Source organism: Homo sapiens, chromosome 10 (genome assembly GCF_000001405.40).
Source record: "Homo sapiens chromosome 10, GRCh38.p14 Primary Assembly".
NCBI classification, from domain to species: Eukaryota; Metazoa; Chordata; class Mammalia; order Primates; family Hominidae; genus Homo; species Homo sapiens.
Window position 1 is genome coordinate 10,743,655 of NC_000010.11, and position 24,785 is coordinate 10,768,439.

The 24,785-nt window shown below is 41.7% G+C and overlaps 1 protein-coding gene across 9 annotated transcripts in view, besides 1 other annotated feature; it reads left to right on the forward strand.

Annotated features, from left to right (window-relative positions):
- Nucleotides 1-24,785, forward strand: part of CELF2 (CUGBP Elav-like family member 2) — an 874,126-nt gene that overhangs the window by 281,105 nt on the left and 568,236 nt on the right. The gene's annotated exons all lie outside the window — the stretch shown is intronic.
- Nucleotides 24,058-24,211: a silencer, noted in NCBI's record as "fragment chr10:10809675-10809828 (GRCh37/hg19 assembly coordinates)". NCBI's record gives its function as "represses an EF-1alpha promoter that drives an FKBP-Casp9 reporter gene in an ReSE screen in K562 erythroleukemia cells {active_cell/tissue: K562}" and the evidence as "EXISTENCE:reporter gene assay evidence [ECO:0000049][PMID:32094911]".

Sequence of the window (24,785 nt, forward strand, 5' to 3'; positions counted from 1 at the left end):
TTGTTTTTGTTGTTTATTTCACACTTGATGTCATAATCCTCTTTGTGACATCTTCATAGTGGTTGCTATGGAAATTATTAGAATATCACACAGCAAGGATGATTACCTTTAGAGGCCACCATACAGACCATATGAACTCTTAAAGACACTACTTTAGGCAATTGTTCCTAAACAAAATAGAAATCCAAAATCCAAAAATAGACTTCTAGAAACACATATCGATACAAATAAAATGATTCTTGTAGGCCACTGTAGTCCAGCAGCAGCCATGCTCATCTTTGATAACCCCTGGATATGGTATATAAATGTAAAATGTTCTTAGTAACTTCTTTTTCTTCTTTATGTTGTGTTCTACCCAGATTTTTTTAAATATTGAATTGTTTTTGAGCTAATTTTTTCCTCCAAAGACTCAGATAAGACTGTCTTACAAAGATCTAAAACAGTGAAATTAATCCAAAGTTGCTCAAAGAAGCTCTAAAATCTCAAGCCCATGTATACGAGTGCCAGTATTGCCAGCCCACCTATATGCTGGGAATAACATTAGAAGCCACACTCTCTTCTACACACAAATTTCTCCTCTCTGAGTTTAAAAAAATACCAGTATTATTTCGCATCCTAAATCATTCAAATGCATATAATTTCAGTGCCTGGAGATATCAGGTGTAATTATTCACATTTGCAAGAAGCAAGAAGAAATCTTTAGGTCATAAATTAACAGTAATGGTACATGTAATTTAGTACTTATTTGTATTTAGTACATTTCCAAAGTGTTTAAAGAGTGCTTTTATAAGCAATTTCCTATGACACCTAATTATTCCCAAGTAAGGATAAGTTGGATCCAGTGCTGGTTTCCGTGTCATACCAGCCATTTCTAGCCACTGTGGTTAGTACACAAACCTGATCCCATCCAGCCCAGTGTGTCCTGCCCTATACGGCAAATCCCAAAATTCAAAGCAATTAGAATAGGTTGCTTTTTGTCTTAAATATGCATTTATCTGTGACTATTATACTAGCAAAAATGATTCTGCTTTTTTTTTTTAGCAAGCATCCATGGAGTATGTACTATGAGATGAGCCCCTTCTAGTGTGACATTTAATTGGTCAATTGTTATTAATTTTGTTTTACCCTCAGACTCTGACTACAGGATAAAAATTTGTAAGTCATAAAGAGGCTCTCTAGGAGGAGGAGGGAGATTTTCCCACCCAAATCCCCTCTACACCAAAAATGGAAGCTAATTACCAACTCTCCATTTTACCAATCTTTCCTGTTGGATGCAGTTTGTATATGGAGTTCTCAAAACAGCACACATAGCCAGCCTTCCAGTATATAACCAGAGCTTTAAGGCTCAAGAAGCCTGACTCGAAGGCGTGAATATGAGTTTATTCCTGCCGGAAACGTTTCTTCCATGAAAGATAGGCAGAACGTGGCTGCCGTCAAATCCATCAAAACCATGCCACGTAAAAAAAAAAAAAACAAAACAAAAAAAAACTATGATAAAAACTGAAGAGACATTTGAAAAGAGGCCTGTTTCATGGACATGGCCTACTTGTGATTTTCTGTTTCTTCCATCATCACTCGGCAAGCAAGCAGAACTGGGGTCAGACCTCGTGCAAAATAACATTTATTGGTCACAGCTGCTGCTTCATCACCTTGATTTCTTACTAAATTATTTTCCTTTCATTACTCGTATCTCCTTTCATAGTTTTCAAGGCAATTTTCTAGTCCATGTGAATTTGTTCAATCTCTCCTCCTAGATTCATGTAAACATTTTCACATATTCATCCAAATTCTTCTCTTCTTCCGCACCCCCTGGTGAGCTCTCTTTGAAGTCGAGAGCTTGGCAGATCCTTCCCAACAGAGCAGCCTGTCTCCTCCTGGGGCTTCGAGTTGTGTGTTGTGTTTAACCTCCTCCTAACTGGCCTGCTTGCCAAGAGTTAGTATAATTTTAAACCAGTTCCATTTCCCTCCATTGAGTATAACCATCCCTACAAAGACCGCCTATCTTCGTTCTGCCTCCCTGGTGATGGATTTTTTCCTGCCAGTCTCTGCCTAATGGAGGGTGACCCCTCTAAAATGACCATGGAAGCAGCTGACCATCAAGCCTCCCTACCTTTAAACTTAATGTAGGTATCTCTGGGTAAGTCATATCACCGTTGGGAATTTCTCAGTACCTCTGTACTTGAGCAGGGATGATAATCGGGTCTTCCCATCTGCTTTATGCAATGTGCGGGCAAAACACGTTTGATGCTACCTGCATCATGTTGATATTATTTCCTGCCTGTCATTTGGTTTTGATGGCATAGGGATGGAAATGAACACTAACTGTCCTTATTTTGCATTTTTGCCTGGTTATTAGTATCTCAAACTGCTTAGCTTCTGCCTTTGTCATTTCTCATTTTAATTAGATGGCCAGTCCAGGGCATGAATTCTCCAGCCCCTTGAATCTTAACCATTCATCTAACACAGATCAGCTGCCTCACCTCCTTGCTTTTCACAGCTTTCTTTCACTGCTTTCTGCTTTTAAATCTTGTAGCAGGATTTGTTATTATGAAGATGGAATAGTCTGCATTCTTTGACGGCAACAAGTAAAATCTGCAAAACACCGGGATAACAGACAACATAGACAATATTGACACAGACATTAAAAGTCAGATATTTAATATTCAATTATGCATTCATTCACCAAAATTTGTTAGTCACCCCGTTTGCTTACAGAGAATGTAAGAATTTGATTAGTGCTGTCAGCCTCTTGGAGAGATGCTATGCCAAATAAGCTTAGACGAAAAACAGACCCAGATTTCAGATTGATTAGCCATTTTATATAGAGTTTGAATTCAAAAATTTTAGAAGCTTAAGGAAATCATTTTAACTTTAACTTCTGAAGGAGGCCAAGCCTGAAAATTGAGTTCTAATGCATGTTGTAAAAGAATTCTCATTATCCTTCTGACCTCCCTCTGCTTAAGACTGAACAGAAACCAACATTGTGAAGCAGTTTCTTGATTTGGTGGAAACCTGTTACTAGTCTCATAGACGTAAAATCGGAGATTTCGGTGGTATTGATTTTAGAGTTGCTATTCTTAGTAAGTATTAATATAATAAAATCATTATGCTTTTAAATTATTAAATGAGTGATTTAAATATCTTGAATGTACCAAAAATAGATAACTGTTTAGGTTGGTTTTGTACCAACCTAATACCACATCACTGCTAAATCATATGCCTTCGCAGTTTTCCAAAGCATCACCTTTGCTGCCTGGTGTCACCATGTGTTAGACAGAGAAGTATGGGAGATAGAAAGTGTTATCTTAATTTCTAACTGAGAACTGGATGGTATCTGAGAAAAGCACCTACCTAGGCTCTGGCTTCCTTGAAGTAAGTCCTTAGGAAATATTTGTTGAATTTGTTAAACAGTCATCAAGATTTTTTCAAGGATAGGATTCTCTTGCGGAGTTTAGAAAAATATTAAAATTGAGCCTGATGTTGTCTAGGTAAGAGGTCCATCCTTTAAAAGTCTGCAAGCTGGTGGAGCTGGAAATGGAGGCTGTTCTAAAGAAATCATCCCTACCCACACTGGGGTGATAGAATCTAAGGACTCTTTCAATAAATATTTCTCCAAGGTTTCTTTTGTGCCAAGAAGCCTTGTCCTAGACACTGTGTGTAAAACACACAAAAAATTGAACAGGTAGGATGGCCTTTGCTTTCTTGGAGTTTTCAGTCTAGTGAAAGAGACAAATAATAAGCCAGTAAAGAAACGCACTTGCAAATTGTGGCAAGTGCAACGAAGGAAAGGGGAAGGATACATTGCTAGATGGTGTCTGGAGGCTGACGGAAGGCGGCAGGCACCTGAACCTGGAGTGTAAGAAAGATTCCGTTTCAAAAGAGCAGCTGAGGGAAAGCGGGGATCATCAGGGATACAGAGCTAAAAAGGACAGCCTCAGAGGATGCTCTGAGGATGGAAAATACTGGCATAATCACAGGATGTAAAAAAGGGCCAATGGCAGGGGACAGCCAGGGAGCACCTCATAAGCCATGCTAAAGAGTCTGGGTATATAGATATATATATATATTTTGAGACGAAGTCTTGCTCTGTCGTCCAGGCTGGAGTGCAGTGGCACGATCTCGGCTCACTGCAAGCTCCGCTTCCAGGGTTCATGCCATTCTCCTGCCTCAGCCTCCCGAGTAGCTGGGACTACAGGCATGTGCCACCACGCCTGGCTAATTTATTTTTACTTCTCTTAGTAGAGATGGGGTTTCACCACTGTGGTGAAACAGCCACTGTGCCCAGCCGGGTTTACATTTTATTAGAAGGGCCAAATGCACAGAAAGACAAATACTGCATGTTCTCACCCATAGATAGGAGCTTAAAACGTTGCACTCATGGAGGAAGAGTGTAGAATGATACCAGAGGCTGGGAAGGCTGGCTGTATAGGGTGGGGGGAATAAACAGAGGCTGGTTAATGGGTGTGAACATACAGTGAAATAGAAGAAATAAGTTCCAATGTTCAATAGCAGAGTAGGGTGACTATAATTAACAACGTGTTGTATATTTCAAAATAGCTAAAAAAAAAGAGGACTTGAAATGTTCCCAACACATAGAAATGATAAATAGTTGAGGTGATGGATACCTTAATACCCTGACTGGATCGTTGCACGGTCTATGCGTGGAACAAAATATGATGTGGACCCCGAAAATATGCACAAATATTATTTGTCTCTAAATAAAATTAAATTTAAAAGTGCTAAGTGCAAATTATGTTGCTTTCAGGAGAGGAGAGGCAGGATCCCAAGTATATATTCAAGAATTCTCTCTGGGGTCTGGCGCGGTGGCTCACGCCTGTAATCCCAGCACTTTGGGAGGCTAAGGTGGGCGGATCACGAGGTCAGGAGATCGAGACCATCCTGGCTAGCACAGTGAAACCCTGTCTCTACTAAAAATACAAAAAAGTAGCCGGCCATGGTCATGGGCACCTGTAGTCCCAGCTGCTCAGGAGGCTGAGACAGGAGAATAGCATGAACCCAGAAGGCAGAACTGGCAGTGAGCCGAGGTTGTGCCACTACACTCCATCCTGGGTGACAGAGCGAGACTCTGTCTCAAAAAAAAAAAAAAAAAAAAAAAAAAGAATTCTCTCTGAAAGAGGTCAATGGCAGGACAGAGGAGTCCAGGGAAAAGGACTGACAATGAGCTGGTGGTGACTTGGATCAGGTGGTGGTTGTGGAGATAAACAGATGTGGGTGAATTGGAAGCAGAGTCTGTAAAGGAAGCAATAGGGTTTGCTGTGTTTGGTGAGTGAGATGAGAATGTCAAAGATGATTCAGCCTTCCAGTTTGCCAAACCAGTATGAATTGTTCAGTTTACTGAGATCGGGAGAAGGGAGAGAGCCAGGTAGTATTTTTGCTTTACGGGAGATTCGTAGCAGGAATTAAGAGTTCACTGTATGAATGTGTTGAGTTTGAAATGCTTGCAAGAAAACAGAGTGAAATGTCAACTAGATAATTGTATTATTCGTCTAGAAATGCTTATTTAATGTCTACTATGTGTCACATATTGTTGTACTGTTATAGAATACTCATGATTCTAGATCTACAGGATATTTGGGCTGGATATAAAATCAACTTAGAGCTTCTGTGAGCGTGGGCTTCATTACAGAAGGCATATCACCTTCTACTCCCTCTATAATAAATAGGCTACAGCATGGGGAACAAGCTGAGGGTACTAAGTGGCCTAGAAATCTAAATTACAGTTTTATGTGCTATCCATCAAAATTGTGGATTAAATGGCACCTGAGTGACAGAAATCAGCCAACAATGTCTACTAAGCATCAATGTGCAAACGATATTATTATTTATTTAGAATATCAAAATACTGATACAATCTGAATGTCTCATAAAGGAGGAAGGGTGAATAGTATAGAGTCATAGAATGGGATGTTAAGCACCATTGCAAATTATATTTTTTAAATATTTAATGGCATAAGATACTATTTTAAATGTATACATGAAAAGAAGGCTGCTCGGATGCATTTGTAGTATGATCCCAGCTTTATTTAAAGATTGCAAGTAATGTCTATAAAGACGAAAAGACTGGAAGCAAATTAGTAAAAATGTTCATGATTGTTATCAATAAATGATATGATTTAAGGTAATTTTCATATTTTCTCTTTGCTTTTAAGCATTTTCAGAATGTTTTATAATGAGCCAATCTGACTGTTCTAAATTGAAGCTAGTGGTAATTAGTAAAGAGAAAAGGGCATCTTGGTAAGAACCTTGGGGAAATAAGAGGAACAAGTAGATAGGACACCTACCCTCAATTCAAATGTATAGAATGATCTATCAAAAGCAATGCCATAGGCCGGGCGAGGCGGCTCACACCTGTAATCTCAGCACTTTGGGAGGCCAAGGCGGGTGGATCATGAGGTCAAGAGATTGAGACCATCCTGGCCAACATGGTGAAACCTCATCTCTACTAAAAATACAAAAATTAGCCGAGGGTGATGGCACGTGCCTATAATCCCAGCTACGCAGGAGGCTGAGGCAGGAGAATTGCTTGAACCTGGGAGGTAGAAGTTGGAGTGAGCCGAGATTGCACCACTGCACTCCAGCCTGGCGACGGAGTGAAACTCCATCTCAAAGAAAAAAAAAAAAAAAGAAAAGCAATGCCACTAATTCTCCATCACTGAAAGGATCAGTCCTACTATTTTTTATAGTTAGTGTAGTATTTGGTTAGAGCTCTTGGGGAAAATGCAAAAAATCAGAGAAAGATTCTGAACCAGGGAAGGCAGATGAAAGAAGTGAAATTGTTATGGTTAACTAATACTTACTGTGCATTGACATGGGTCAGGCACTCTTTTAAGTATTTTAACATTTAAGAAAGACAACTGAAGAAGGTGAAATTCACATTGGATTAATTTGGATTAAATACTGTCCATTTCCCTGTCAGATGCTCTGATGTAAAACAAGGAATTGAAAAAATTTAACAAATAAATTTATTCACGCAAATACACATGTGTGTATACGTGTGTTCCATCTTAAAGTTAATTAGGCAAGAGAAAGTTAAAGTTTAATTAAAACTTTTGTCACAAATTCTAGCCCTGGTGATAAGGTGGAAGAATAGAATGATTGTCACCTGTCTGTTGATTTCTCATTAATTAAATCCCAGCTGGCAAAGGCGTCCTTGAAACTCAAGTGGTGAGACCCTGCTGAAATTTGGTTGCCATGGGTGCAGATTGAGGTCCCTGGAGTCACTAAATCCGTTCCATTCTTATTCCAACTTAGACACTAGCATCTATGAAATCCAAATCCCTTTGTTAAAGATGATACAAAGACCTACAGAAATAACAAACATTCCTTCTCAAAATAATTGTTTGAGGATTTCGAACCCGTTTCAGCGATGTCTAGAAATCCCTGAATATTCCTTGCACTCTTTTTAGAATCCAGCAGGCTTAAGAAGATCTCACTGTGCTAACAATAGCTCCTTTTCTGAGAAATATTGGAGTGCTGAGCCTGTGGGAGCAAAACCTTTCTGGGATCTTGGTTTGGGAGTGCATTTATAAATCAGATTTTCTGGTGCCTCTTTGTCCTTTTGTGAAAAATAAGTATCTCTGCCCTACAAGCATTTATGCCAAATGGAGAGAGAACTCACTGCGTTCCATGAGGAAGTTTGCTTTCCAAACAGCTGACTTCAGTCTGGAGGTAGAGACACAAATGTCCTGGAAAGTAAAAGAATGTAGTTCCAATTCAGCTATAATTCCAAGTCTGACAAAGAAGCAAGTTCGTATCTGAAGGGCACAGAATGATAACTCCTTAAGGGGCAAAATAGACCACCATAGATAGTTGTTATACATGCCAGCCATGTTGTAATTCCACCCAGATGGTGTTTTTTGCCTTTTTTTCTCTGATAGTCCCTTTAAGTAGAACTTCATGCTGATGAGGCAGGGCACTGCATTCAGTCTCAATATTGACCAGTGATGTTACCTTCCTTCTATGGCTGTAAATTCCATGACTAAGCTTTTGTTCATTGCTAACCCCTGGTCACAAAAGATTAAGTTGATAGTAGAGGTGGATCAGCACAAATCTCGTACTGCTTTGGGAAAAAAAATAAGATTAATATTATGATTTAATGAGTAGTTAAATTGGGTGTGTTTGTGAAATACATCGTATTTCCAATTTGCGAATGGAAATTTTTTTAATTGAGAAATTAAACAATCAAGTGTGGTTTCTGGTACTAATAGATTCTCAAGTTGCATAGCTCTCGTGACCTGGCTCTTTGATTAAAGTTTAAAATACATCCACAGATAAAATAGACCCATGAAATCAAATATTCTTGCTGAGAAAAGATGTGTTAGTAACAACAAATTATGACCTGCTTCGGTCACTGAATTGATGAAGGGGAAGTTTTACCTAATCTACTGGTGTTCTCACTGAAAACATGCAAGAGGTCACAGACGAAGGTTGCTTCTCAGAATTCACAGCAGGGCATGGACCATATCCAGATGTTGGTTCCATTTGGCTTGTACTCCTCCCAGGAGAGAGTCAGGCCTGGGATCTGGTCCGTGGACACTACCTGGAGGGTTTCTGTCATTGTCACTATTAACCATGGCTAAAGTACCCATCACAGTGCAGAACCCTCCTTATGTCTAAGATGCCAGTAGTAGCAAGTGGATAGCTGCAGCTTTTAAATAAAGCTGGCTCTAGAAATATGACAGAGCACTGTGACTTAGCAGGACATGACGTTTTGTTATATTTCAAGATACTCCAGGCCGGGCACAGTGGCTCACGCCTGTAATCCCAGCACTTTGGGAGGCCAACGTGGGCAGATCATGAGGTCAGGAGATTGAGACCATCCTGACCAACATGGTGAAACCCCTTCTCTACTAAAATACAAAAAAATTAGCTGAGCGTGGTGGTGCATGCCTGTAATCCCAGCTACTCAGGAGGCTGAGGCAGGGGAATCGCTTGAACCCGGGAGGTGGAGGTTGCAGTGAGCCGAGATTGCACCACTGCACTCCAGCCTGATGACAGAGCAAGACTCCGTCTCAAAAAAAAAAAAAAAAAAAGAAAGAAAAAGAAAAAAAAAGATATTCCAGAGATCTAAAAGAATTTAGGCAAAATAATTTACTGGTATTACTCATGGGAGCAAAATACCGGTAGTAAAAAAAAAAAAAAAAAAAAAAATTCTACCATGATAGGCATTAAAAGTGGGATTCTGAGTCTCAGAATTATTCTGTTGCTAATCCCTGGTTCAGGAGAATCCTAGTTCAAATATTCACAAACCAATATTGCACACGTTTACATATATTACCATTGTTCCCAAACATCACATAACGTACTTAAAGACAGTGTTTTCCAACTAATGTGAGCCCTTGGTGAATTGTAAAATCTACGTTGTGGGTTGCAACTACCCTTTTTAATTTTTAAATGAAAGACATAGAATAAATAATTCTCTGAGTGCATTAAATATTAAAAAGGTAAGCATTGCTTGGTGAAATGTTTGTTTTAGTTTGTGTGTATTTGGTGGGGATGGATCTTAAGTCACACCGTGAAACACAATTTAAGGCCATTATCATAGAAAGTTTATGTCTCTTTAATTATCAAGGGTCACATTTTAAAAACTTTTTCTCTAAAAATGAATTCCAATTTCCAAAGCTCTGTGTGTGTGTGTGTGTGTGTGTGTGTGTGTTAAGATCAAGAGTGCATATGGGATTTTGCTTCTCTATTTGTGCGTGTGTGTAACTCTGCAACAGAGTGATTCACAAAAAAATATATACTTTAGCTCAAAGTTGCAAGCATTCCACCATTACTTCCAATCCACTTAAAAGGAGAATATCCTCTTTTCTTGCTCCCTGGTATCATTGCGGATACGAATGGTGTCATGAAAAGTGAGCCCACTCCCAGACCAGAAATGTATCCAAGGACCGGGAAACACACTACCATGTTAATCAATTATATAGCTTTCTTCTTGGACAACTTAAGTAGCATTTCTCTTTCTTATATTAAAAAATCACAAGTCTTTTGAGAGAACTTATAAGATGAACAGTTGACTTTTGAAACAGTAAAATTCTTCCTAATTTTCCTACCTTAGGGACTTGGTCACATGCACCTGACTTCACCAATTAAAACTAAAGTTTATGCATTGAACTATAGAAAAAACATGGCCCCTTCTTGAGGTTATACAGATAATTCCAGAGCAAAACCCATGACATCTAGGAAACAGGCCGCATTGCTTAATGTGGATGCTTAATTTGTATTTTCAATGTGTATTTATAGGTGAGGGTTTATTATGAACAGGATGTTCAACAGATCAAATGCATTGATGCAATTAGGTTCCTGCTTGTTGAGACATGTTTCATAGCTCTTATTAAAAGTAAACATAAATAAAGGTTGTTTGGAGATTTGTACATGCTGAGGTGGTTTTTTTTTTTTTTTTTTTTTTTTAGTATTTGACTAGAAAAGCATTTGAAATTAACTACTTAAGCAATGAAGCAGAGCACACTTTTTTCTTTTTTTTTTTTGAGACAGAGTCTTACTCTGTCACCCAGGCTGGAATGCAGTGGCACAATCACAGCTCACTGCAGCCTCCAATTCTTAGGCTTAAGTGATCCTCCCACCTCTGCCTCCCAAGTAGCTGGTACTGTAAGTACGTGCCTCGATGCCTGGCCAATATTTTTTTATTTTATTTTTTGTAGAAATGGGGTTTTGCCAGGTTTCCCAGGCTGGTCTCAAACTTCCGGACTTGAGCAGTCCTCTCGCTTCAGCCTCCCAAAGTGCTGGGATTCCAAGGATAAGCCAACACGCTAACCAAACAGAAGCACTCTTAATCGTGTTCTTTAAGAAACTAGAAGAGACACTAGACAGCTTCAAATGATGACTACAAGGAAGCATGATCAGGAAGAAGTGGTTTCTAAGTGAACTCTGCTGTCTTAGAATTTCATGATTTAAGGGTGTTTAGCCCCAGGTCTATTTTTGTTGTTCACAGTTTAAGTCTAGATTATTTAGGTATCTTTAATTAGGTTTCAGCCATTTTGCCAAATTTAAAACACCAGTAATGTGGTGCCAAAAATACTGATAACTTGACTCCTTGCTCTTTAGCCTCAGCTCTTTTTATAGATTTGAATTCTACGTGTTCTCTGAAGCCCAGAACAAGTCTCCATGCTCCAAGGCCTCTCCTAATTACCCAAGCCTTAAGTAATAACTCCTTCTTATGATAACACCTGCATGAATTCCTCAGCAGCAAGCCATCGGCGTCAGTCAACGGACAATGAGAATATGCTTTGTGAATTATTATTGCTTTTTAAAACTTAGATGTTCTGTTTCCCTCAATAAGTAGATCATTTGCTTCCTGTGGGCAGAAACAATCTTCACTGGCTTCCAAGATGATACAAATTGATAACTTTAAATATACACCAAGGTTATGTTTACAAAAGACAAATGCCAGGATGAAACTTGAAAGGGAGAAAAAAATAAGAGGTGGCAAAATGCAGGTTTGTAATCTCAAAATGTCATAAAAAATCTCTATCTTAGTAGATACAAAGAATTCCTAGGTAATTAACAGATAATTGACATAACCTCTTATTGTTTTACACCAGATACTTGGGATGACAGAGTGAGAACATGAGTTTCTTCCTCTCTCATATTCATATTTATCTTCTATTGGCTCTTCTTCACAGTGCATTACAATTCTAATCATATTGTTCTGGACAGCTTTGGTAGCAAGTAACAGAAAACCCAGCTCAAACTGGCTTCAACAATACCGGCATTTACTTGCCAAACACGGGGGAAATTCAGGGCTGGGATAGGCTTCAGTGTTGCCTTCATCTACTGGCTCTGCTACATTTTCGCGCGCAGTCTCTATGGCTCTGCTCTCCTGCGTCTGCTGCTTCCTCCTCAGATTGGTCTTGACACAGCACCAGTCGCTCTACGACAGGTGCACAGGACAAATGGTCCAAAGGGAAAAGAGAAAGAGACATCTTTGTAACCCTTCTCAGAAGAGTGAGGAACATCTTTCCTAAAAAGACCCTCATGTGATGGCCACGCCCCCTCTTACGATGTTATATCACGTGATCCTTCCTATGCTGGATCTTAGTACAGTCACTCTTCAACCACGGGTAGGATCAGATTCACAAGACACCTGAGCTGAGTGGAAAATCAGCCAGTACATTAATACAACTGGTGTTTTCTTGGGAAGAAGAAATGAGAGAATGGATGCCAGACGCACAACCAAAAACAACCCAAATTCCAACTTGCCAAAAATTCTTTTTTACCCGAATAGAGTCAAAGCAAACCATCCTAATGACCATCCCTCTGTTGTTCAGTATTAACTCATGTTGGTTTTATTAAATATAAAATGCTGCCTGGTCAAGGAATCTATGTTTTTCACAATAATTTCATAGACATAGTATTAGGGGAAAATGTAAATAATTATTTATTTTGAAAGAAACCATTTCATGTAACACCAAGATTCACTTTCTTCTGTATTCTGCATACCTGAAATAGTACAGGAAACATGGTGGCCCGCCAAAAATAATGATACTATTTCTTTCCATTTCTATATATTTTCCTTTGGCAGATGACTATTACACTTTTCAGGTCATTTAATATTCTCATACAGCAGACCTTTCAAAAGTTCTGTCTGTATTTAAATGTGTTTAAGAAAATTTATCTTGCTGATTATTAAAAGTAATGGTAAAAACCACAGTTACTTTTGCATCAACCTAATAAATATTTGGATAGTCATTCTGTTTGAGATAGAGTTGGGATTTTTACCTGAAAATAAAACACTCTCATGGTTTTCAACTGGCATTTTTATTTTCACTTTTTCTAAAATAAAACTGCATTAAATGTTAATTTATAAAATCTATGCCATATCATATATTTTATTTCATATTTGTTGAGTAATTTTTCACTGAACATCAGGGATCCCTTAGATTCCCATTGACTAGGTCTCTGATATGTTGCCTTTAATGATGCAGTTATATTTAAATTAACTCTTGATAATAATGATATTTTTATTGATTCCTTTATTTTTCTTTTCTTGAACTACCACTCTATTCACATCTATTCACTCTATTCCATTCATTTGTGATCAGTAATTTTCTAGGAATGATTGTCTTAGTGCAAATATAAAGACTAAAAATCAGATTGACTTAAAGAAGCAGTAATTTTTGCTATTTGCTGGACAAAATGGCAATATCCATTAAAAAATAACTACGGGGACTGGGCGCAGTGGCTCACACCTGTAATCTCAGCACTTTGGGAGGCCAAGGCAGGCAGATCATGAGGTCAGGAGTTCAAGAACAGCCTGGCCAATATGGTGAAACCCTGTCTCTACTAAAAATACAAAAATTAGCCAGGCGTGGTGGCACGTGCCTGTAGTCCCAGCTACTCGGGAGGCTGAGGCAGGAGAATTGCTTGAACCCTGGAGGTGGAGGTTGCAGTGAGCCAAGATCACACCACTGCATTCCAGCCTGGGCAACAGAGGGGGACTCTGTCTCAAAAACAAAACACACAAACAAACAAAAAACTATGGGCCAAATGCAATGGCTCACACCTGTAATCTCAGTACTTTGGGAGGTCGAGGTAGGAACATCACTTGTGGCCAGGATTCCAAGACCAGCCAGGACAACAAAGCAAGAACCCTTCTCTACAAAAAAATAAAATAATTAGATGGGCGTTTTGGTGTTCACCTGTAGTCCCAGCTACTCGGGAGGCTGAGATAGGAGGATCACTTGAGCCCAGGAGTTAGAGGCTGCAGTGGGAATTATCATACCATTGCACTGTCTCTGTCTCTTAAAACAGTACAATAAAATAAAAAATAAAATAGAATAAAATAGACTAACTCTGTGAATTCTTGGAATTCAACAATGACAATGACACACATGCACACACATGTATGTATGTATGTATACAATCTAAAAGGCAAATCACTAAAAGAGAAACTATTAAGAAACATATGAAAAGATACCAGCCTAAATATAAAAAGAGATACAAATGAAATCAACTACAGACTTTTTCCCAAAAATATAAGAATAAGCTACTTGTCTTTAAATATATAGTTTGAAGAAGTTGGATCTACACCTGTGGCTTAGTAAAGCATTATGGCAAAAACTTCCCTTTCTTTAGCAATGTGGAGAGAGGGAGGAAAAAAGAAGACACAGTTTCTGCCCTTGTTATCCTGCTGCTGAATTTGTTACAAGATGGTTAAATTTTATATAGTTTAAAACTTGTAAAGAATCTTTCAATAATGAAGAAGCAAAGTTTGTAAACTAGGCCCCTATGGAACCACACTGTTTGAGCCCCGGGACCTTCTCTCTGTTTGTGGTTGGGTTCAGGGGCCTGCACTCTGTCTACAGGTATCACAAATAAAATGTTGTTAGCAGCTGAATGATATTGACAGACCTATCAGCAATCTGCAGATTTTCATTTTGAACTGTGGCATCCTGAAATAAGTTGAAGCAGAAATAATATCTCTGTGTTGAGAGATTTCAAATTCTTTTTATTGATAGGTAAACTACAGCTCTAGATATAACTAAGTGAAGCACGGCTGGAGAGGGAAGAAATAACACCTGGACTGCTGACTGCCGTCGTGGAAGGGCAAAACAAGAGGACACAAATGCATCCAGCTATTCTCTGTGCTGCTTGGTGTAATAGATTAAACTTCAATGCACCTTGGGCTCTTTTCATGGGCTTTGCCTGTCACCTTTACACCCTTCAGAGTTCTATAAGGAATTATCAGCACTACGACTCTTTGGCAGTCTTAGTGGGAAACCCTGGGAGGTCAGGAATATGGGCCTGTGAAATGACATCTTCCTGCCTCGTCCAAAGATAGCATTCATCATCATTTAGGCAGATGTATGATGCTGCTAGGCAAAACGCCAGCCATGGATCACATTGGTGTCCCATTACAGAGCCTACGCTGTCCCAGTGTCTACACAGAGTGGGAATCTCAAGGCTGGATACTGAGAGCCTTCCTGGAACTTCAGGGAAAATAAATGTACTAAATCAGTTGGTTAATTATCTGTGTCATTGACCTTGGTGCCTTAATGGAAAAATATGGTTCAGATATTACATGGCTATAAACAAAAAATTATAAGTAGCATCCAGTGTGTAATTGACAGATTTGAGTGCATTTAATAGTGTGCAATGAAATAAGTCATCCAGGCCAAAACAAATGCCTTTCTTTTTTCTTGATTCCATACATTTCTTGTTTGCCTGACATATGCCTCACTGTGTTTCTTTAAGATCAATACAATGTGTCTTCTAACTTCATTTGTCTTTTGATTAAAACTGCCTGTTGAACAAAGCTGCTAGGAGAGCTTCCCTATCTCCTAATTGTCAGAGAGTCCTCTCAATTTTTTTAACCTTGCCAAAAGCTGACATTCAGCTTCATTGGCACAGATCCTTGCTTCACAGAGATATGAGCTATCGAATCAATGATTGCTTTGTAACACGGTTTGCCATCCATTCCGTGGACCTAAGCATAGCATGCAAATGCATCATTGAACAAATCCCAAAGGCATAAGACTGTATGAAAGGAAGGTAAAATAGGAAAACATAGATGGAGATGCCAGGCCTAACTCATCCACCCTACATAAAGCAGGCATCTCTGAGTATTGGCTGGATTCACTAGAAACTCAGTGCCCATTTTTCTTTTTTTTTTTTTTTTTTTTTTTTTTTTTTGAGATGAAGTCTCACTCTTGTCTCCCAGGCTGGAGCACAGTGGCGTGATCTTGGCTCACTGCAACCTCTGCCTCTGGGGTTCAAGCGATTCTCCTACCTCAGGCTCCCAAGTACCTGGGATTACAGGTGCCAAGCATGGTGGCAGGTATATTTTTGTATTTTTAGTAGAGACAGGGTTTCACCATGTTGGCCAGGCTGGTCTCGAACTCCTGACCTCAGGTGATCACCCGCCTCGGCCTCGCAAAGTGCTGGGACTACAGGTGTGAACTACCACGTCTGACCTAGTGTCCATTTCTCTAATCAGCCAACCATGGCTCACCTTGGGCCCAATGCTTGAGGCTTCATGGCCCTAACAACACATAGGAGAATCACCATTGTCATGGTGATTCTTCTAGCAGTTTTATAAGTCTGAATTCTCATCTTCCTCTCCCTGCCAGAAGATAAGGGAACCAGACTCCAAGTATTTCCTGAATATGTAGGCTTGTTGCAAAATCATACAGAGAAGACAAATTATATTCTTGAAAAGACGGTGATATTCCTATATAGAAATAGTAGTTAAAATAGCCAGGTTCTTAAAATCTTTTTTTTTGTTTTTTGAGATGGAGTTTCGCTCTTGTTACACAGGCTGGAGTGCAGTGATGCGATCTTGGCTCACTTCAACCTCCGCCTTCCAGTTCAAGTGATTCTCCTGCCTCACCCTCCTGCGTAGCTGGGATTACAGGCATGTGCCATCACGCCTGGCTAATTTTCTGTTTTTAGTAGAGACAGGGTTTCATCATGTTGGCCAGGCTGGTCTCAAACTCCTGACCTCAGGTGATCCACCCACCTCAGGCTCCCAAAGTGCTGGGATTATAGACGTGAGCCACTGTGGCCAGCTAAAATCATTTTTACCACTGTTGTCTTGACTCTTACCTTTCCTGCCCTGGTACATCTAGACCTCTCTGTCCTACCCCAGTCCCCCTCTTTATCCTGAGAACGCCTGACTCTAGGAGTGTTCTGCTGTTGGCTCTTGAATGCTCCATGTGACCCAGACTGGCACCTGGAAGGAAAAGAGACTGTGCTACTGTGACTTGGTTGTAGCAAGAGCCAGCCATCTCAGCAGTTCTTTGATTGCATTCATTCATTTATTCCCTAAATTATTATTCGTGTATTTCCTTAACTCAGAAGATGCAAGCAAGTCACGTCGATACAGTTTACCATCTTGTGTGGGAGATGGGCATTAAATAGAATTACAGAAGCAGTGAATGGGGGATGTGTATGATGAAAGCTGCGATGGAGGGGAGGAAGGAGATCAGCCTGCAATGAGGATACATGCTCCTAAGCAGGGAACTCGGGAAGATTTCCTAGTGAAATGACATGTCCGCTGAAGCCTAGAGGCTGAGTAGAACACGTCCAAGCAAACGAGGAAAAAGGCCAACAGTGTTTCTCGCAGAAAGAACAGGATTTGTAAAAGTGCTGTGGAAAGAAAGAGCTCTATGAGTGGGAGGAACTGAGAAAAAACTCCTGGCAGGGCTCAGGGAAGGAGAGAGATGGAAAAGGATAATGATGCCAGCAAAGGTCGCATCACGCAAGGCTTTGTAGGGCTCATTAAGGAGTTTGGACTTTATCTTAAGAGCAATGGGAAGTCACAGAAGAATTTTAAGCTGGGTGGTGACATGGTCTAAGTGTATCTTAAAAGATCACTCAGTGTTTTATGGAGCATAGATATGGTATTGTCCCATAGACTTCTATGTTCCATAGAAGATCTTTTTGGTCATTGTGGTCAACAATTCCAAAAAAAAATCTTGATGACTTGAATTAAGTAACAGCAGAAATTAAAAGAAGTTGAGAGCTTCAGCAAATACCTCAAAATGGGTGTTGGCTGGAATTGATTATTTGAGGGGAGGTAGGAGGAGGAGTATAAAAGACATCTCTCAGGTTCTCACATAAGAAGTTGAATGAGTTGTGTCATTTTACAGTTTTCAGGAATACCTGAGGAAGAAATAAATTTGAAGAAAAAGATTATACAATGAGTTTTTGACAGGTTAAATTTGAGGGACCTGTGAGAAATCAAAGTAGACATGGTTGAGTAGGTTGGTAGAGGTGTAAGTCCATGAAAAATGTATGTTGATTAATTTTATGTGTCAACTTCACTGGGCCACAGGGTACCCAGATATTTGGTCAAATATTATTCTGGGTGTTCCTGTGAGGGTGTTTTGGGATGAGATTAATGTTTGAATCAGTAGACTGAATAAAGCAGTTGCTCTCTCAAATGTGGGTGGGCCTCATCCAATCTGTTGAAGGCCTGAATACAACACAAAAGCCAACCTCCCACATCGCAAGAGAGAACCTCCTGCCTGACCAATTGGGCTGGGACATTGGTCTTTTCCTAGCTTCAGATGCAAACTGAAACGTTAGCTCTGGGTCTTGAGCCTGCTGGCTTCCAGACTGGAACACATACCATCAGCTCTACTGGTTTTCAAGCCTTCAGACTTGGACTGGAGCTAAACCATGGGCTCCTGGGTCTCCAGCTTGCCACCTACAGATCTGGGGACTTCTCAGCCTCTCTAATTACATGAGACAATTCCTTATAATAAACCGTGTGTGTGTGTGTGTGTGTGTGTGTGTGTGTGTGTGTGTGTGTGTGTGTAGACAGATATGTAGATGATCTCCTATTGGTTCTGTTTCTCTGGAGAGCCCTGACGTAGACTAAAAGTATTTAATGATAACATGAATTTGAAAACCCTGAGCATATACATGGCAAATGAATTCATTAGAACTGATGAGATGTTCTAAAATTGGGAGAGAGACAGAGAAGAGGTCCTAAAACTGAGCCCTTATGCTTTCCAACATCAGAGATTTAGGAGAGAAGGATGACCCAACAAACAAGGCAGACAAGAAATGACCAGAGAGGTAGGAGGCAACCCAGGAGACTTTGGCAGGAGAAGAGTTCTACAGGAAGAATGGATGTCCACTCTGGGAAATGTAAGGAGAGGCAGGGCAGTATTCAGGGGCCTGAGTAATAGGAAAGTCAGTGCTGTAACAGCATTTAATTATGGATTGTGCTAGCAGAAGCTAAATGGAAGTCATTTGAGGCATGACTTGGAGGTGAAGAAGTAGAGATATAGGTAGGAAAATCATCTGAGAATTTCGTGCAAGAGGGAAAAGAAAGAGTAGATTAATAGAGACACCCAGGGTCCTGGAAGGGGAGTCACCTATTCCAGATGTCTACACGTAGATCGAATTCAAACTAACGCTCGGGAACTGAGACAACATTCCGGAATCCACTAGGCAAGCATAACCCCCACCATTTGGGGGTAGTTCTCCGGTCTCAGGCTTCTGGGATTCACACCCAATATCTATGCCAGTGGGCTTTAATATGAGTACAAGCACTTACCCTCTATGGTGAGCAGTTCCAGAAGGATACAGCAAAGAAAGATTTGAAAAAAAATGAGGTCAGCTGTGGTGGCTCATGCCTGTAATCCCCGCACGTTGAGAGGCCAAGGCAGGGGGACCACTTGAGCCCAGGAGTTTGAGACCAGCCTGGGCAACATAGCAAGACCCTGTCTCTACAAAATATTTAAAACTTGCCCACTGCCCTCCAGCCTGGGTGACAGAGCAAGACTCTGTCTCTAAAATAAAATAAATTATAAAAGATTTGAGAAAAGCCAACCACATTTTTAGAGCTACAGCCTCTAGTTAGTACTAGAAGTTCATGTTAGCAGTCCTAGGTTGTAATCCAAGATTTCTACATGCGATCTCTGCTTAGCCTCTTCGAGCTTCAATTTGCTCATTTTACAAAACATACATGATGATGCTTGACTTTTGGAACTTGGACAGTAGCTGTGGGAATAAACGAGATAATGTGTGTGAAAAGATATCACTAAGTGCAAAATGCTGGCCCAATTTGTATTTATGGAGCACCTGTTTTTCCTTTACGCAAAAGAGGTCATTTGAGCAGTTCCAACATTTGGCGGAAGCTTTTTCACCTCCCACTCACTGCACATGAGAGCAATCATATCCCTCGTCGTGAGCCTTGTGATGTGGTCTGTGACATACATTTGATAATGGACTTGGAAATTGAGATCCCTACGTATGTAATTATGAGATGGAGGCCCTCCAAACTCACACAACCTGGAAACGCTGCCCCGGTCAGGAAAACCCACCCTGCATGGTCATGCAACTAAACAGCCCATTGATAAAGGGTCTGTACCTTCCGCAGAGCTGCCCTGTGTATGTGAGAGGAGGAAGATGCAGAAAGGAAGAAAATGGAAGGTGAAACCAACATATAAACCATGTCTCTTTTGTGGCTTGTTTTTGCAATTGTGTGGTTATTCAAACAGTGGAGCTGTTTGAAACAGAATGAGGCACGAACGCGGGAACAGAGGGTCCCTGTATTTTCACTAGACAAAAATACAACATCCACCTGGAAAGAGAATGTCAGAACATGGAGAGGGAGGGGGAATATTCAAAATGCAAAATTGGAAGAGCCTGCCTCCTGTAGTATTTGTTTGTGACAGGTAAAGCCATTCATCATATCACCTGAACCATGGAGAATTGTGCTATTGTATTAATTACTCTCTTTAGTGACTCTCTGAGCTTTGGACTATTTAAATTCCAGGATGAGAAAGTGCTAATGGATATGGTATTGTAGATGGAGTGAATTAGTATTTCACGCTGTGCGGCTGTCTGAAAGAGTTTTAAATGGTAACCCACAGACTAGCAGCGTTCCACGCTTTTGGTGTTCATTCAGCCATTTGTTCTTCTTAGTAACAGAGCCACTCTGGGGTCATGCAAAAATTCAGACGGGAAGGAAAGGAAAGGAGATGTCAGTAGGGATACTCTGGGGAGACTAATGTGTTTTTCTGTGAGGCTATTTATGATACACTTTATTGTGTGCATTGACAAAGTCCCAATAATTCATATTTGAAAGGGAAATCATATGTCCTTTAAAAATTTCCAATCAAAGATGCTGTGAATGAAATTGTTTTCAAAAAAACATACTTTCTGCAAAAATTCCATTTGGGAACATGGCGCCGATCTCATACTGTGTCTTCACCCTTAGCCATTTTTATCTGCCTAACCTGAGTTTCCACGTGCATAAGAGGTATAAACAAATACGATGGAGCACTTCAAAGTTCTACACGACTGCTCATGCAGACCTAATCAGACAACAGAGAGGCTCTGCACACCGCACAAGGTGTCTTCTGAGAAGAGACAGAGCCAAGTTCTCCAAGAGGAAAGGGCCTAGAGGATCACTGTGTCTGGAAGAGTAAGCTCCAAGGCACGTGTTAATGTCACATATAAAACACATTTAAAGGGTCACCCTTTGACCCTGTCATGTCTCAGAATCTTAATTTCCCATTCCTTCTAATGCCTTTTTAATAATCTTATAAATCATCATGCCAATACTTTACTTGGCAATTGGAAGCCAATATTTGACAACTGGAAGTAACAGAGTGAAGATGAAGAGGTCTCCCCCACTTTCTAGGCTCTTGTACCCCACCTCCACTGTCTGCTGAGTATCTGCTTGTACATCTTCTGCAGCAGTTAAATATCTCCACTTCACATCTCTGCATTCTTACATGAATTCTGCCTTGGCCAGGCTCCCCAGAAAGCAAAGCCTGAGATAAAAGCTCATGTGCAGTATTTTATTAGGGAGCGCACTCCCAGGAAAGCGGGATTAAGGGAAAACAGGAATGAAAAGAGAGAGAAGCTAGAGCCAACACAAGGGCAGGCTACTAGTACCACCTTTGGGGGTGGAGGGTCACCCACGGCTTGATCTTGTGGGGGCTGATGTCCAAGGATCCATACAAATGACGGTGAACTTCAGACAGTGTGTCCAGGGCAGGAAGACCTTATCTGCCAGCTCCCATTTCCCACTGGTCCCATTTTTCACTTTGTGGAAAAATTGCCCCACGCTTCTGAATTGCACAAGGGTGGCCTTGAACCAGTCCCAAGGCATCTCTTATTTCAATTCTTACAAAAGTAGAAGGCGCAGGGCACGAGGTGAGAGATGTTTGGTGTGACAGCATTAGATGCCATTGAGTTCTGTCTGCGGGAAGCTGGCCAGAATCCGAGCAGAGCTGGTCCTACAGCAAGGGCCAGGCCAGAGCAAAGAGCCTTGGACCAGGAGGTGGATGAGGCTGAGAAGACCTGAAGACCTATCCGCCACACTTACCTGTGCCCTTGCGTTGTATTGACTCCCCGACCACAATTGGGCTTTATTGCTGTGAGAACAAGATGCCGTAAGAGGAAATATAAAACCAATCAGTCACAGAGTGCCCCCTTCAAAGTGGTGGCCAGCCTTAGTCTCTGAGAAAGCCTTAAGTTAAAAGGTTGAGGGAACAACCGACTGCAGCTGGTCTTGAGGTCATGCTGGATGCTGATCCTCCACTACCTGTTCTAGAGTTCGCTCATGCTCAGCCAGCACCGTGGCTTGTCCATTGCTTATCTGAAGGGCGGATCCAGACCTCTCTCCATGAGGACTGAGTGTCTTTTCTTTGTTGGGCTGCAGTTGGTGCAATTTCCCATTTCTCATCATCATCATTCAACTCAGAAGCACCAAGAGACTGCAGAGGAAATGCCCTGGATCCCAGGCACAAGCGCACTGGCCCAAGGCACAAGCACACTGGGCCAGACACAAGCGCACTGGGCCACCCTCCCAGCTCCTCAGGAGAGTCAGGACCAAGCTACCAATTTACAAAAGCTGCTGTCTTGGCCTCCGGCACTCCAACCTGAGAAACCAAGTGCTCCTATGTAAGTAAGTGTCCCATCCACTCAGCCCGGAAACCAGAACTTCTAACTTGGTGGAAACTAAGATTGCACAGACAGGAAGTGCAAATGCCATCATTTTGTTATTGGGTGATGGATGGTGAGAGGAGCCAATCCTAATTCTCTCCCCTTGGTTCCCAGATTCGTACATCCTGGCCGAGGTTTACCCTGAGCTGTGCCTTAGCTGAGTCCTTCACAGACCAGCTGTTCTGGGTGATGAGGCACACGGAATAATGAGGAAATTATGTTGCTACTGCCTGCCATTGTTGCACTTCCTTTGTCATAAAATGTGTCTGAGATGACTGTATATGGAGTAGATCAGTAGGTAGAGACCTGCAGGGGAGGAAGGGAGAGCCATATTTTGGAGAAGATGTGTGTTCCGGGAAAGACACACTGCTGCCTCCATCGGGAGGGAAGGGGTCAGGTGTAAGGGACCTGCCACTAGTGTCTGAGTGGACCCTGGGGAATGGAGCCAGGGGAGGTGTCAGCCTCGGTCTCCACTGCTGGAGGTTAGGTACTCAGCAGCAGCAGGGACTAGGTGAGCCTTGGGGAGAGGGAGCCTATGCTGCTGGGCTGAGGTTTAACTTTCACCCCTGCCACCATGGCCACTCTGTTCATGAGCCTGCTATGTCTGCCCTGGGGTTGCCCAAAGCAGAGGCTGACTGACATGCACAGAATGAGACCCCTGCCCCTGTGGGGTTTTAGAGCTGCCACTTCAATGGTGACTTCTCACTGGGCACTGCCATAAGACATGAAAGTCTACAGGCTTTGTACCCACTCACACATGTCTTCCTTGGACGAACTTGTACCTGATCTTCCAATCTTTCTCCTTCTAAGCCCCTGATGGAGCACCCGTTCATTTCTCACTGCCAACGGTCCATATATATTCATATCTCAACCCACTTCCACTTCTCTGTCAATGGAACAGGAACAGGTGAGTGTGTGGCTGGAAGTTCTATGGAGTTAGGACATTTTCCTTCATCGCCGTCTTTTGGGGCTATGCTGGAGCTGAAATGCAGCAATAACCCAATTTTGGCTAGCACCAGTATATCATGCTGACCAGTCTTTGAACCATAAACCAGTCCCAAGTCATTCGGTTGATCATAAATCACCCCAACAACCAACAGTACCGCCACCACCACTGCCACCACCACCGACACCACCATGATGCCATAATTGTGAGCTCAAGGACGGGTTTCACTACTTCCAAAGTCGATGACAGGGTAGACTGGGCCTCCTGTTCCTGTGCTTATTTATGTCTTCCAGATTGACTGAGGCCTGAGTCAAATTAGGTGCCTCCAGAATGACATCCTGAGGGTATGTTTTCAAGAGCCTGATACCAATGCTCTCAGCCTAAGTCCCTCAGGAAATGGAGCCTGGAACTTAAAAAATAATAAATAAAATATATATGTTACTACTGTATTAGAGAGTCCATTAGAAGAGAAGCAGGGTGAGGGAAAGGGTGTGACCAGAGAAAGAGAGACTTTGCAGAGGGTGTTGGTAAACAGACCAATGCTTGGTATGCAGTGGGGTTCATTGCTCAGTCTCACGGGATTATCTCCCAAGGGGCCATATGAATCACTTCATCTTCAGACAACCCAACCGTGGGAAGTAAGCGGTAAAAATATATTTGCTGGCTGGGCACAGTGGCTCACGCCTGTAATCCCAGCACTTTGGGAGGCCGAGGCGGGTGGATCACAAGGTCAGGAGATGGAGACCATCCTGGCTAACACGGTGAAACCCCGTCTCTACTAAAAATACAAAAAATTAGCCGGGCGTGGTGGCGGGCGCCTGTAGTCCCAGCTACTCGGGAGGCTGAGGCAGGAGAATGGCGTGAACCCGGGAGGCGGAGCTTGCAGTGAGCCGAGATCGCGCCACTGCACTCCAGCCTGGGCGACAGAGCGAGACTCCGTCTCAAAAAAAAAAAAAAAAAAAAATTAGCCAGGCGTGGTGACGGGCGCCTGTAGTCCCAGCTGCTCAGGAGGCTGAGGCAGGAGAATGGCGTGAACCCGGGAGGCGGAGCTTGCCATGAGCTGAGACCACGCCACTGCACTCCATCCTGGGCAACAGAGCAAGACTCCGTCTCAAAAAAAAAAAAAAAACCAAAAAACTTGCCAGCCCCTGCATCCAATTGGTGAAACATTTGCCCCATGAGCTGGTAACTCACCTACCTTTCTGAGTTGCATAGACGTGGGTCCTTGAATGTATCTAAATAGCATCTCAGCATCACAAGCAAAGCCCTGCATGGGATTAGTGGTAATGTGGCAGGGACACAGGGCAAAGCGCAACGTGTTCGCAGGTTACAGCCCCATGAGTTTGGTTGGAGCCATGCAGAGTTGGTTTCTAAAGTAGCTACTGGG